This window comes from Homo sapiens, chromosome 15 (assembly GCF_000001405.40).
Source record: "Homo sapiens chromosome 15, GRCh38.p14 Primary Assembly".
Taxonomy (NCBI): Eukaryota; Metazoa; Chordata; class Mammalia; order Primates; family Hominidae; genus Homo; species Homo sapiens.
In genome coordinates this window covers 58,561,063-58,574,893 of record NC_000015.10, presented here as the reverse complement: position 1 = coordinate 58,574,893, position 13,831 = coordinate 58,561,063, and the positions used below count along the sequence as shown (strand labels likewise).

The following is a 13,831-nucleotide window of genomic DNA, read 5'->3' as shown; positions in this document are numbered from 1 at the left end:
TTTCTAAGCTGAATGAGGAAGCAGTGAACTCTATCTTGGACAGGTGTGGTAGCTGAAGCTTCTGATTTAATCAAGAGGAAAAAAATACAGATAAGAAGAGATACCTGTCACTTATTAACTCAGCAAGCATTTACAGGATGCCAACTCTGTACCAGGTGATAGGCTGAGCACTGGGAATAATGCAGTGAACAATGAGAGCCTCTCCCTGACTTCACCAAGCTTCAAGGCCAGTGGGGGAGAAAGGCAGTAAAGAAACCATTTCAAAGATCAGGCCTACGGCTAGGGTAAAGCTAGTGAAGCACTTGCCTTGAGTGCAAAAATGTAAGGGGGCTCCAAAAACTCAGTTATCAAGAAAATTTTTAATGCAAAAATTTTTCTAATGGAAATGAATGCAAAAATCTATGATACATAAAATATAAACATTTTGCTGTCATGGTGGCTCACATCTAATCCCAGTGACTTGGAAGGCTGAGGCCGGAAGATTGCTTGTGTCCAGGAGGTTGAGGCTGCAGTGAGCTCTGATTTGGCCACTGCACTCCAGCCTAGGTGACAGCAAGATCAGGCTGGGTGCAGTGGCTCACTCCTGTAATCCCAGCACTTTGGGAAGGTAAGGAGGGTGGATTGCTTGAACCCAGGAGTTCAAGACTAGCCTGGGCAACCCTTGTCTTTATAGAAAATATAAAAATTATCTGGGCTTGGTGGCATGCACCTGTAGTCCTAGCTACTTGGGAGGCTAAGGTGGGAGGATCCCTCGAGCTCAGGAGGTTGAGGCTGCAATGGGCTGTGATCATGTTACTGTACTCCAGTCTGGGTAGCAGAGTGAGACCCATCTAAAAAATAAATATATAAATAAACACAGGTTCACTATTACTGATTTTTCCTTTTGCCTCAGGCTCCAATGTGGCTCTGCATGGCATGGCCACAAATCATTTCACCAGGAGAATAAAAAAACATTGACTATGGATGGCAGGGTGAGCTGCTTGAAGCTCGGGTAGGATGAGATAATTGTTAAATGATCTCCCAAGCAGTAACACCTAACTTGGAGCTGCAAGCATGCAATGGAGGAGAGGTGGGAGTGTAAGCAACAGAAGGGGCCAAGGAGAGAGCTTTGCGCTTTTGAAGGAACTGAGGTGGCTGGTGTTGTCTAGACCTCTGGGTTTCAAACTTAGTGCATATTAGGATCACCTGGGGAGCTTTCAACAGTCTTAATCTCCGGGCCCTGCCCTAGTCCAATTAAGTAAAAAATCTCTAGGTGTGGGGCTGAGGCAGGGCTAGTTTTTAAAGCTCCTCAGGCATTTCTAAAGTGCACGCTAAACCTGGGCAACATAGTGAGACCCCTGTCTCTACAAAACATTTAGGAATTAGATGGATGTGGCAGTGTGCACTTGTAGTCCCAGGTACTCGGAAGGATGAGCTGGGAGAATTGTTTGAGCCCCAGGAGGTCAAGGCTGCAATGACTGTGATTGCACCACTGCATTCCAGCCTGGGTGACAGAGTGAGACTTTGTCTCCAATAAATATATAAATAAATAAAAATTAAAAATAAAATGCAGGCTGGGCGGACACTCCGTGGGTGGAGCTGGACAATGGCCTAGTGAGTGACAGACAGAGAGTAATGGGAGGCAAGACTGGGGAGAAAAGTAGGGGCTTGACTGGGAGCCTTGAAGGCCAGGGTAATTATTTTGGACTTTTTCCAAAAAACGTGGGAGGTCATTGGGAGGGCTTTATGCAGGAAAATGATATAACCTTTTTTTTTTTTTTTTTTTTTTAAGATCACTCTGGTCGCTGTGAGGGGAAGGGATTGAGAGGGAGGAGGGTGTCTGAGGGATGAGTTGGAAAGTTGTTGCAAATGTCTGGGTAAGCGATAGTTCGGCTTGGGCTGGGTTGATGGCAGTAGAGGTGGGGAGACATAGACACGCTTAAGAAATAAGAGTAGAATTCATGGAATATGGTGATCATTGGATTGTGAGGGGCCAAAGGGGAGGACACATAATGGATGACTCCCCAGAGTCCACCACCAGCAACTGGGTGGGTGGTAATGACCTTCAAGGAGATAAACAACAGAGAGAATGGGGATGAGCAGGTTCCAGGGGCAAGAAACATCATGCATTCATTTTTGGATGCAGGGAGAGATGACACAGCGGGAACTGTGGAATGGACAATTGCATAATATATGGGAATACGGGTCTGGAGAGAAGGCCCAGGCTGGAGCTCTACACTGAGAATGGTTGGCCTATGTGGTTGATCATAAATAAAGCCATAGGAGTGGGTGAGATTGCCTATAAAGAGAGAAACGTGCGAGTAGGGAAGGAGGTCTGGGCTCCCCTGGAATGGTTGAATGGAGGGCAGGGAGCAGCAGGGAGGCTGGGAGGTTGGAGGGGAATCAGCGGGGCACAAATAACTAAAGGCCAAGTGGATGGCGGAGAGCGTCACTTATGTGATTGCCAGGCGCTCAGAAGAGAGAAAGATCTCTGTGGCCTGGCCAGGCTAGGAGGCAACTGGTGAAAATAACTGGGCCTGGGTAGATAAATAGGACTAAGTTAGGCAGAGCAATTCCAGGGGAGAAAAGAAAAGGAGGAAGGGATAAGAGAAGGGAAGGAATGAGATGTGTCGGGAGCCATTAATCATGTACGGATCATTGGGATTCAAATAGAAGTATGTATTATGGGACCATGTAAATGGTCCCTTTTGGGACTGACTTTCTTTAGTCTTCATCTTGCTTGTCTATTTCCCATCCCTCTGACTTTACTTTGGTCCAGCCTCTGTGGGAGGGCAAGCACAGCACTGGGCAGCTTTACCCCTTGCCTTGCTGCCCCACAGACGTGTATTGCAATCCAAGCTTTTGCAGTATTTGCGGCCGACATGACTCAAGGTGAACATTGAGGACAGGGAGCTTTGCGATGCAGCAGAGTGCGTTCATTTTAATGTTGAATGGAGTGCTTGTTTCCTTCTCTCTCTGACTTACTCACCTCAAAGAGCCCAGCTGCAGTGTAATCGACATTCCATTTCTTTCCCAGTGCTCTCTTACAAGAGAAGCACAAATAAGCTTTTGCCTAAAAGGCAAGATGCTAGTGTTATCTTTCCTGAGTGGGCTCATAAATGCAGATTCTTTGGAGAGAGGTGTGTATAATCAGTTCACGAGCCAGCATTTTGCATGTGCAACGAACAGATGTGACTGCATTATTCAGTTTCCCAATTTGACTTCCCTACTCGAATATACTTAAGAAAATGTGATGTCGATGAACACATCCCTCCAAGTGAAAATAATCCACCGACAACAGAATTGGCAACCAGATTTGGACATGCCAAGAGGAGTTTCAAATGTTCCAGTTAACCACTTGTCACGTTGGATGCTTGTTGAATTCTCTGCCCAAAATGTTACCATGTATTGTGGCACTTCAAGTTTTCTTACTAAAGATGAAATAATTTCTAATTATATTGCTTGTGAAACTATATTACTTTTGAAACATATCACACTATAGTAGAAACATGTTTGTTTAACTCTGCCCTTTATTTTCCCTTTTTAATTTTCACATTGTGAAAGGTGACATTCATACTAAAAAGTGCGTGAAATGTAGATGTATATAGAACGGTTAAATCAGTGAACGTGTGTGTACCCACCACCTGGAGTAAGAAGTAGACTATTGCTGGCACCTGGAACTCCAGGGTGCCCTTCCTCTTTCCTGGGATTATCACAGCCTCACTTTTGTGATAATGATTTTATTGTTTTGTTTCCTTTTGTGATAATGATTTTATTGTTTTGTTTCCTTTTGGTTTTTTTTTTTTTTTTTTTGAGACGGAGTCTCACCCTATTGCCCAGGCTGGAGTGCAGTGTCGCGATCTCAGATCACTGCAACCTCTGCCTCCCGGGTTCAAGGGATTCTTGTGCCTCAGCCTCCCAAGTAGCTGGGATTACAGGCATGCGCCACCATGCCCAGCTAATTTTTGTATTTTTAGTAGAGACCGGGTTTCACCATGTTGGCCAGGCTGGTCTCGAACTCCTGACCTCAATTGATCAGCCTGCCTCAGCCTCCCAAAGTGCTGGGATTACAGGTGTTTATCCATTGTTTGTATCATACTATACCTTTTTTTGTGTCTTTGTGCAAACGAAAAATGCATGAGTGCTTCCTTAAATGTTGCTCCCTAGATGCCTCGCTGCCTCACGCTGGCCCCAGCTCTGTTCTTTTGTGTGTGTAGCTTTGGCTTATCTTTCTTACGGTTGTACGACAGTCCATTAGCAAGACTATAACCCAGTTCATTTCTGCATCGTACTGGCAGACATTTGGGCTGTTTCTGGCTGCGATGATTTCAAGGCTCACATACATGTCTCCTGGAATACATATGCATGGACTCTGTTGCATATACAGCAAAGAGTGTTTCCCTGTTGTTTTTCAAAAGTGATATTCTAAATTCCTTCTGGATCGTTAATGATAAAACCTGGCAATCCAATGCAAACATTTTATTGTAAACCTTAGTATTCTAGACATAATGGGAAATGTTCATTTTATTATCTATCAATTTTAGACACACACTCACACACATTCCCTAAAAGTAGGGTCAAATACTTTTGCAGGTAAGATTAGCATTCAGGACAGAATGCTTCATTTGGAAACATTGACCAGCTGTTCTTCCTATCCCACCACCCCATAAGTTTTAGATTTCTAGGTCTTTCAAAGGGAAATAAAAGTGAATCATGCAAGATAATTTTAAATTGATTAGTCAGAGGCAGACATCTTTCCAGGATTTTTGTTTTCATGAGCCCCAGTTTACCCCGCTTTGGTGAAGAGAATATGAATTATGGTCTGTATATAGCTGAGCCTAAGTGCAAGTTAGGTTAGCTTGTTTAATGTGCATAACATGTTCCTCCTCTCTGAATTATGTAAAACACATATCTAACTGATTACCATATTTAGCGTCCATTGTCACCATGTGCTTTGTGATGGAATTTGCTGGTCAAAACATTATTATTTCACTTATTGGACAGTTTGAAATTTGACATCTAACTCTCTCAGTTAGTTCAGGCTTCTATAGCAAATTACCATAGTCTGGATGGCTTAAACAAGAAACATTTATTTCTCACAGTTCTGGAAGCTGAGAAGTCCAAGATAAAGGTGCCAGCAGATCTGGTAGTCTACTTCCAGGTGAGGGTCAACTTCCTGGTTTGCATATAGTTGCCTTCTCATATCCGCACATGGCAGAGAGTTCTGATCCTTTATCCCCTATAAGGGCACTAATCCCACTTATGAGGGCTCCACCCTCATGACCTGATCACCTCCCAAAGGCCCCACCTCCAAACACCATCACATTGGGGATTAGATTTCAGCATATGAATTTTGGGGTGACTCAAACATTCAGTCCATAGCAAATGCTTTGAGACATTCCAAGTTTTTAAAATTAGCTTTTGTTGCAAGCATTAGTAAGATATAATAATTATGTTTATTTAATTTGTAATTCCATTATTAAAATGACCACATGTCTAGCTTTCACTGTTATCACAAGTAGTTTTAGTAGAATTCTACTTGTAAGTGTTTGGTTCTGTGAAATCGTTATATGATTTGTATAAATATTAGAATAATTATAATTTTTCTTCTTTTAAGAACTGTATTGTCTTAAAGGATGTGTATTTGGTATACACAACTAGTGGTGATTAATTAGAATCTTGCTTTATTGAAGCACTAGTTACCTAATAAAAAAGTATCTTTCTAGCATGGTTCAAAAATGGGTCATAATAAACTAGCAAGGACATGTGGGAAACTTAATTATAAAAGACATTGTAAATTAGAACAACAGATCTAAAATGGCTCTTGCATTTGTACTTATTTGCATATATTAACATTTAACCAGAGATAAAATTGGGACATTTTTGGTTGTACTGATACTGGAAAATAGTTATATCATATCGTTTTTAAAAGCTCAGTTTATGAGAGTGAAACATACCCCCCTTAAATCTAAACTTTATTTAAGCTTTGTGTGAGATTCTTTATGTAATTTTGGCTTCTAAATAAGGCAGCCATTCCAGATAAGGAGTAAGATTCATTTATTCTTTACACTGGGTCTTCATTAAATCTCATCTGATCTTTCGCTTTGATGTTTTAGACTTTATTTCACATTTCACGAAGATTTTTTCCTGGGTTGGGCGAAGTAGTAGGTCATCTGTGTTTTCTGAACAAAATGTCATTCTGAATAGAAAACAGGAAGCAAACACAGCATTAAGTTTTAGGTGGAGCTTATTGAAGTGTTTCATTCTTTATCAAATTTCACTCAATTTGTGTAAGGCATGTGATGTCTTTTTTTAAGTTAGATTCTTATGTTCGCAAATATTTTTGTAACTTCAGAGAAAAACAAAACCCAAGTCAGTGAAAGCCATCAGTGTAAGACTTCCTGGAGTTCTACACTGGGGTGATTTCAGTTCTGTAAGAAGGAAAGTCCTGGGGCAGCCCTCCTTTGTTCTCCCCTATGACAGCTCATCGAAGATTTGAGGGTGACTATTGTTTCCTTGACCACATTTGCCTTGACTTCAGGGCAAACATTTCTAGTTCCTCAACCCTTCCTCCTAAGGCAAGCTTACCTCCTCAGCCTTCCCTCCTTGGACAAGCTCCAGTTTGTAAATGCTGTTCTTAAAGGTCCTTGGCATGAGGCCAGTGTCATCGGTTTCTGCCTGGCTCAGCCCTGTAAGCCCTGCCCCTTCCTCATATTGGAGCTGACATTGTCCACTAAAGAGGACACTACTATGTGTTTTGGAAACAACAACTAGACTGCTTTGGCTGTTGGCTTGGCCCGAGATACCATTTTGTGTTATTATTTCCAATTGCATCTGTTAAATATATATCTATAGATATATCTGTAGAAAAATTCTAGTTTATTACTTCTTTTTTCTTTGAATTGCGTCTAAGGTCAAGTCTTCACTAAACTGGACTTTTAAAATTTAAAAATGCTATGAGTAATTTGTGAATGCATTCTTGAAAATTCAAATGGTAAAGGAATAAATGAAGCCAAATAATAAAGAACCTCTTCACCATCGGCCTTCACTAACATCACTCCCCTCTCTACATTTATGATTTGGTTTATGCATTTCCAGACTTGTTCCTATGCATTTACATATATTGAGTGGCATCATGTTGTGTATGTTTTCCTGCAATTTTTCCTGTTACCAGAAAATGGTACTCAGAGACTTGCTCATATCAGTAGGTAGAAGTCTATTTCACTATTTTTCACCTGCTTCATGACATTCCATTTTAAGGATGAACCACAATGCATTTTCCTACTGTTAGACATTAAGATTTTCTCAAGAGTTTACTATTTACTTATTATGTATAGTATTTATTTAATAGTACTGCAACAAACATTCTGTACATATGTATTCATATATAGCCTTTGTGCATATTTTGATTATGTGCACAGATACTCCAGAAAGATGATAAGACACCTAGAAATAAAATTCTGGCTCAAAGTAGTATGCATATTTAAACATGTGATAATGTAAACTTCATGAGACCAAGGACTCTGTCTGTTCACTATATATATATATACATATACATATATATATATACATATACATATATATATATATACACATATACATATATATGTATATATATATGTATATATATATACACACACACACACACATATACATATATATATACACACACACACATATATACATATATATATATATATTTTTTATTTTTTTTGAGACGGAGTCTCGCTCTGTCGCCAGGCTGGAGTGCAGTGGTGTGATCTCAGCTCACCGCAACCTCTGCCTCCTGGGTTCAAGCGATTCCTTTGCCTCAGCCTCCCGAGTAGCTGGGATTATAGGCATGCGCCACCACGCCCGGCTAATTTTTTTGTATTTTAGCCCAGCCTGTCTGTTCACTATTATACATCTGGTGTCCACAACATTGTCTGGCATAAGGTAGGTACTCACTAAACGTTAGTTGTTGAATGAAATTCCCCTACAAAATGCCTGTAATTTACACTCTCACTAATAGTGTATGAGAATGCCCGTTTCTCCACATCTTTACTAACTCTGGGTGTTGTCCGTTTTTGAATTCCTGCCAAACTAATGAGTAACCAGTGATAATTTCTTTGATTTTATTTTGCATTTATATGAGTACTGTGGAAATTGAATGTCTTCTCATTAGGTTTAGCCAGTTATTATACTTGGTCTTGCTGTAGGGCCAATAATTTCTTCTCTTTCTCTTCACCATCTCCACAACCCTACTCATCCCTGATTTTGTGCCTTTGGGGGAAGAAAACCACCTTCCACTGAATTTCTTCCATGGAGGCACAGAGCAAGTTACTTAACCTACTTCTTTTCCCACTTGCACTTAGCAGCGATATTACGAGTGTAGAGTTTAATGTTCCCATCCCGATTCTGGGATTTTGGTCTGCAAAAGGCACTAAAAAATTAGTAGTTGTTATTAGTCTCATGAAATGTATATTATGATTCTCGTTTATCACTAAACAACTGAGTCTTGAAGAGTGAAGTTATTGTTTGAGGCTACACAGATTGTGAGCAGTGAAGTTAAAATGTGAGTTTAGGACTGGCTGACACTGGAGTCCATCCGATCCTGCCAGCCATATTGCTTTGCCGGCTGCCTGTCTCCCTGGGAACACCTCTTGGCCTCCTCAAAGCATGTTGCAGCACAGCCCCAAGTGTACGGGTCTGAACTTTCTTCTTACACTTCCCGGGTTGTGTAATGCTGGACTCTCACTATTCAAAGTGTGGTCTGTTGACCTGCAGCAACAGCATTGCCTGGTCGCTTGTTAGAAATGCAGAACATCAGGCTCACCCCAGACTCACTAAAGCAGAACCTGCATTTTAACATGATTCCCAGATGCTTTGTATGCTCGTGAAAGTTTGAGAAGCCCTGGGATGGACCACACCGTTAGTAAAATTAATTCATCTTATTTTCCTGGTTAGGTCCTGGAGTTTATTTCTACCAAGAGCCACAACTCAGATTTTTTTTTTTTTTTTTGTATTCTCCGATAGTACCTGGCACTGTGTAGACACAGAGGAGGCACTCGGTATTTACAACCTAAAAAAAATTATAGCTCCCATAACCCGCATACAGTACCTCCTACAGCCCTAAGGATGGGTTTGATGCATACATATGTTAATGTCCAGCACTGCAACTCTGCTAGATTAGACTGAGAAAATTCAGATTAATGGAACCAAAACTAATGGAAGAAGGAACTGTTGGAAACAGCACACCCCCAACAAATGGGTAATAAATCAGACAAATCCCAGTCAAATCTGGACTGGGACAATTTTGAGCAATGTCCTCAAGCTGTGTAACTTCTGTGAGCCTCAGGTTCCTAATCTGCACAGCCAATACTACCCATTTCAGGATCACAGCAAAGATCACGTGAGACCAATGCCATGGAGCACCTGCTTCAATGCTCACCCCGTGTGGGAGCCCTGGAAGGGCCAGGCCCCTCCCTCTCCTCATTTCTTCTTCCGTACCACATGGGTGTGCCCCAGTGGAGAAGGTAGTGTTGTGCTTTAGCCACCCTTTCAGGTCAAGCCACATGGGATTGTCAGGGTGAGCAGCCACCTAAACTGAGGAATTACTCTCCAGCTAAGAGCATCTGGGCAGGGTCAGAGCTCAGAAGCAGCGCTGCTCCAATGGGCCAAAGAGTCATGTGAGAAGAGCTCAGTGCAGAAGAGGAGCGAGCAGTTTAATCTTCCCAGATTGATCCTGTTGGGAGATCTGTTGGCAGACGGCAGAGTATGCTCTCAGTAATTGCCAGGATTTTGCATCCCAGGGAGATAAAATCTCAGAGTGCGGTTGTATAAAGGGACTCAGGGGCATACATCTGCCACAGGCCGGCATCTGGCAGTGAAACCCAGGGGGTGACGGAAGAGGGTAGTTCAGAGGTTAGAAACCTGCTGTTTTCCACCTCTATGAGGACAAGCCAAAGAGAAACATGGCCTTCGCGACAAGTGAAGGTGGGAGAGGAGAGACCGTTTCCTGAATAGAGAAGGGAAGAGAGAGGAGAGGGCCCGGGGATGCCTGGAATTCTGCCGTGGAGAACCACGGATGACCGAAAAGCACGGTTGCTATGGCAGGGTGTGCTGGGCAGCCCTTTCTTTTGCTGGGAGGACTTCAGGAGCGCTGGAGCATCCTTCCTTTTCTTTTCTATTATTATTATTATTTTTTGAGACGGAGTCTCTCTCTCTGTCATCCAGGCTGGAGTGCAATGCCGCGATCTCGGCTAACTGCAACCTCCACCTCCTGGGTTCAACTGATTCTTCTGCCTCAGCCCCCCGAGTAGCTGGGACTACCATTGTGCGCCACCACGCCCAGCTAATTTTTGTATTTTTGTAGAGACGGGATTTCACCATGTCGGCCAGGCTGGTCTTGAACTCCTGACCTCAGGTGATCCGCCCGCCAAGGCCTCCCAAAGTGCTGGGATTACAGGTGTGAGCCACCACGCCCAGCCCTGTCCTTCCTTTTCTTTGCTCCCCACCCCAGCTCCTTCGTATCCCTGGAGACTTTGGGGCCACGGGAGATGTTAAATCAAACACAGCAGCATTTCTTTCGGGTGACCCATTGTTCTACATTGGAGTTTCTTAGGGCTCTGATTCAACAACAGGCATCCTGGACCCCTTCCCAAGCCCACCATGAATCTGCGGGTAGGTCCAGGAATTCTGCAAATGTGTTTGGCTTCCCAGTGATTCTTTGGCAACTGACATTTGAAAGATACGACCACAGAGAGAGAGAGAGAGAGAGAGATACATCGAGATTTTTGATATTGTGATCTGTTAAAAGATTTTCTTTGGGCAAACAATAAAAAAAAGATGTTGCATCTACCACAGCACCTTGGACTGGCAGCACTGACATCACCTGGTGATTCACCTGCACCGAAGCTTGAGAAGCCTGGGGTTCGTGTGATGGTCCTCAGGCTCCAGAGGCAGGCAGCGTTAGCCACGGGCAGTGGGGAGACCCTGGTGTGTATTCAAAGACCTGGGTGTGAATCCTTGTCCTGGCACCTGTGGCTGTGTAAAGTTGGGATAGTCACTTCACCTTTCTGAGCTTCTGTACTCCATCACTAGGGCCTAATAATACTCACCTCACATGATGAATGTGAGTATTAAATTGTGAGACTGCCTGGCACAAGTGGGTGCTTAATGGACGTTAATAGGAGATTGAATCAGCAGTCACCTTTGCTGGGTTTCTCCTGCTTTGACTCTGATCGTCTTCAGAACGAGGCCTGAGTGGCGCGGCCCTGTGCTCCATGGGATGATGGTCTGGACCGTGTCCCAGACATTGGCCCACACTGCACTGTTTTCCCACTTGAACTTGATCATGATCAGCTCGCCGATATCCACATCCAGCGTGATAAGAAAGGAATACGTTTTATTACTAGCAATTCCTTTGCCCCTTGAATACACAAAGAAAATCAGACACAATCAGTTTAGTCGTAACAGCAAAGTGACGGTCACACACATTCAGGATGTGTTGTGTTTCCCTGAATGACTTGGGATTTTTGCTGCATTTCCCAAACTAGTGTTCAACAGACTATTGATAGAGTTAGCAGTAGGTGTGCCAGGATAAAAAAGGGATTTCCAGATAATAAAATTGCGAAAACTATACTATTTTCTGGTTAACACATCAAAAAGGCTCCGAGAAGTCCCACTATAACAAATCTAGTTAACTTTCTCTAGCTTAGCTTCTAGGAAGAAGCCGCTGTGGAGACAGTGGGGCTTTGGCAACGGCGTCTGGACAGTTCAGCTCTCTGTAGGTTTAACATAGTATGCCTGCAGCATGCACTCTCTCCCAAGTAATGCTCCTCCCCCCATATAAATAGAAACCTCTGTTAAAACAGTGAGGCATAACAGTAATAGAAAAACTACACATAAAAAGGATGCACCGATTTAGAGCAAGATTTAAATGCAGACTCTGAGGTATCATGATCAGCTTTACTCACTAATCTCCAAGACACTAAAATATCCCAACGTTGACAGAGCAGCGAGATGCCCTTTCCACTATTGAGAACCATCCCCTGGGAGAGATTTTTGGCAGTGCAGAGGCAGCAGTGGATTTAGGGCGAGGCAGATGGATGGTGGGGTTGGGGGGGGGTCCCTTGTGTGGCTTGGCATAGCTCTTCCCGAGTATGCTGTGAAGAATTGTTTAGGAATCCCCCCGCCCTGCCAGGTTGTGAGCATCCAGAGGCTAGGGTCCTCTGTATCCTTAGGTAGGTGTTGGACAGAGCATCAACAAATGCTTGCTGAATGACTGAATCAGTGTGATGATCAGAGATCCAAAGCTGGGGGCAATTTTCGGGAAGCTCAGGATCATCTCTGGAGTGGGTGAGGGGCTAGTGTCACTTTCCAGGGAGAGTCCATGCTGAGGGTTGAGAGGCCAGAGAGGCTGGGGAGCCTCAGAGTGAGCAGGTGGGTAACAGGGTGAAGGACAGATGGGGAGGCTGGCAGAGCAGGCTGATTGAAATTGGAAATCTGTGCCAAGTCAAAAGATACCACTTGAATTTCTGGGTTATGAACTCACTGGAAAGGCTCTTGGGACCTCTTGGGAACACCTGCTCCGCCCCTCACCACCTGCCTCTGCACTGCAGGCCCTAGTGGGGCCATCTCTGGCTTCCCTGTCTGCTCAGCCCACAGTGCATAACATTGAGCAGTTGGTGGGAGCTGGAGAGGCTGAGGAGGGACGTGAGGGTTCGGGCTTGGGTGGATGTCCTGTCTGACCAGGATGGCCATGTGGGATGGGCTGTGTTTACTAAAGGGGTTGTTTCTGAAGCACCAAATATTTATTTATGTTCACAAAAAGAACCAAACACTAAGAGTTGACTTGTGGACCAAGAGTTTTCTGCTGTAGGTAAGAGCTAGCTCAGGTAGTATCTGGCGCCTACCACAGTGCCCTGTATGTGATTGGTGCTTAAATGCTCAAGCCCATGTAAACTAAAAATAAAATTCTAAGCCCTCCAACCATCTGAATGGACCCCTCCTCTCAGCCAAGGGCATTCCAAAGTTCAAGCCATGGTGGGAAGGGGAGGTGGGACACGCCTCTTTATACTCTCCTCCCTTTGGAATTCAGGCACAACTGACCAGCATTAACATTAAAACCCAGATTTTAAGACTGATGAAGCAGACTTTTTGTAGCAATAAGACACCAAATTCCAGCCTGACTCTAGTATAGCATCACATGACAGACAGCAGGCCCTGAAAGAAATTAAACTATTTTACCCTAAAATATATTTCTTTGACATATTTTGAAAGGGCCCTGAACAGCTGTCTTGTGGTGGGAAAATCTACATTCTGTAGAGAATTCCCTTCCCTATCCAGATCTTTTCACTGATCTGGGAGAGAATGAACTAAGTCTGGCACCTTTTTAAGTCTGATAAGAAACATTTACAATCAATTGTCTCTGAAGCCTGCTACCTGGAGGCTTCTTCTGCATAATAAGAACCTTGGTCTCCACAACCCCTTATCTAATCCCGACACTCTCTTCTATTGATTCTAGATCTTTAGATAAACTCATTCAACCAATGCCAATCAGAAAATCTTTGAATGCACCCATGACTTGGAAGCTCCCCTGCACCTCCAACCCCAAACCACTTTGAGTTCTCCTGCCTTTCTGGACCAAACCAGTGTACATCTTACAAGTACTGATTGATGTCTTATATCTTCCTATAATGTATAAAACCAAGCTGTAGCCTGACCACCTTGGATACAGGTCACCAGGACCTCCTGAGGCTGTGTCACGGTAATGTCTTTAACCTTGGCAAAATAAACTAAATTGATTGACATGTGTCTCAGATAGTTTTTGGTTTGCGTCTGGAATAAAGTAGTTGTAGCTGGCCTGACT

General features: G+C 43.4%; 1 protein-coding gene across 1 annotated transcript in view, besides 1 other annotated feature; it reads right to left on the bottom strand.

Annotated features, from left to right (window-relative positions):
* LIPC (lipase C, hepatic type) overlaps positions 5,050–13,831 on the bottom strand; it is a 137,854-nt gene continuing 129,072 nt past the window's right edge. The window contains exons 8-9 of the mRNA NM_000236.3: positions 11,171–11,389; positions 5,050–6,178 (exon numbers count right to left, since the gene is read on the bottom strand). Of these exons, the coding sequence (NP_000227.2) occupies positions 6,067–6,178; positions 11,171–11,389 (331 nt within the window). The 3' untranslated portion in view covers positions 5,050–6,066. The remainder of the gene's footprint in view (positions 6,179–11,170; positions 11,390–13,831) is intronic.
* Positions 13,177–13,706: an enhancer, noted in NCBI's record as "NANOG hESC enhancer chr15:58853387-58853916 (GRCh37/hg19 assembly coordinates)". NCBI's record gives its function as "activates a minimal SCP1, AML or CMV promoter by ChIP-STARR-seq in naive H9 embryonic stem cells {active_cell/tissue: H9 hESC(naive)}" and the evidence as "EXISTENCE:reporter gene assay evidence [ECO:0000049][PMID:30033119]".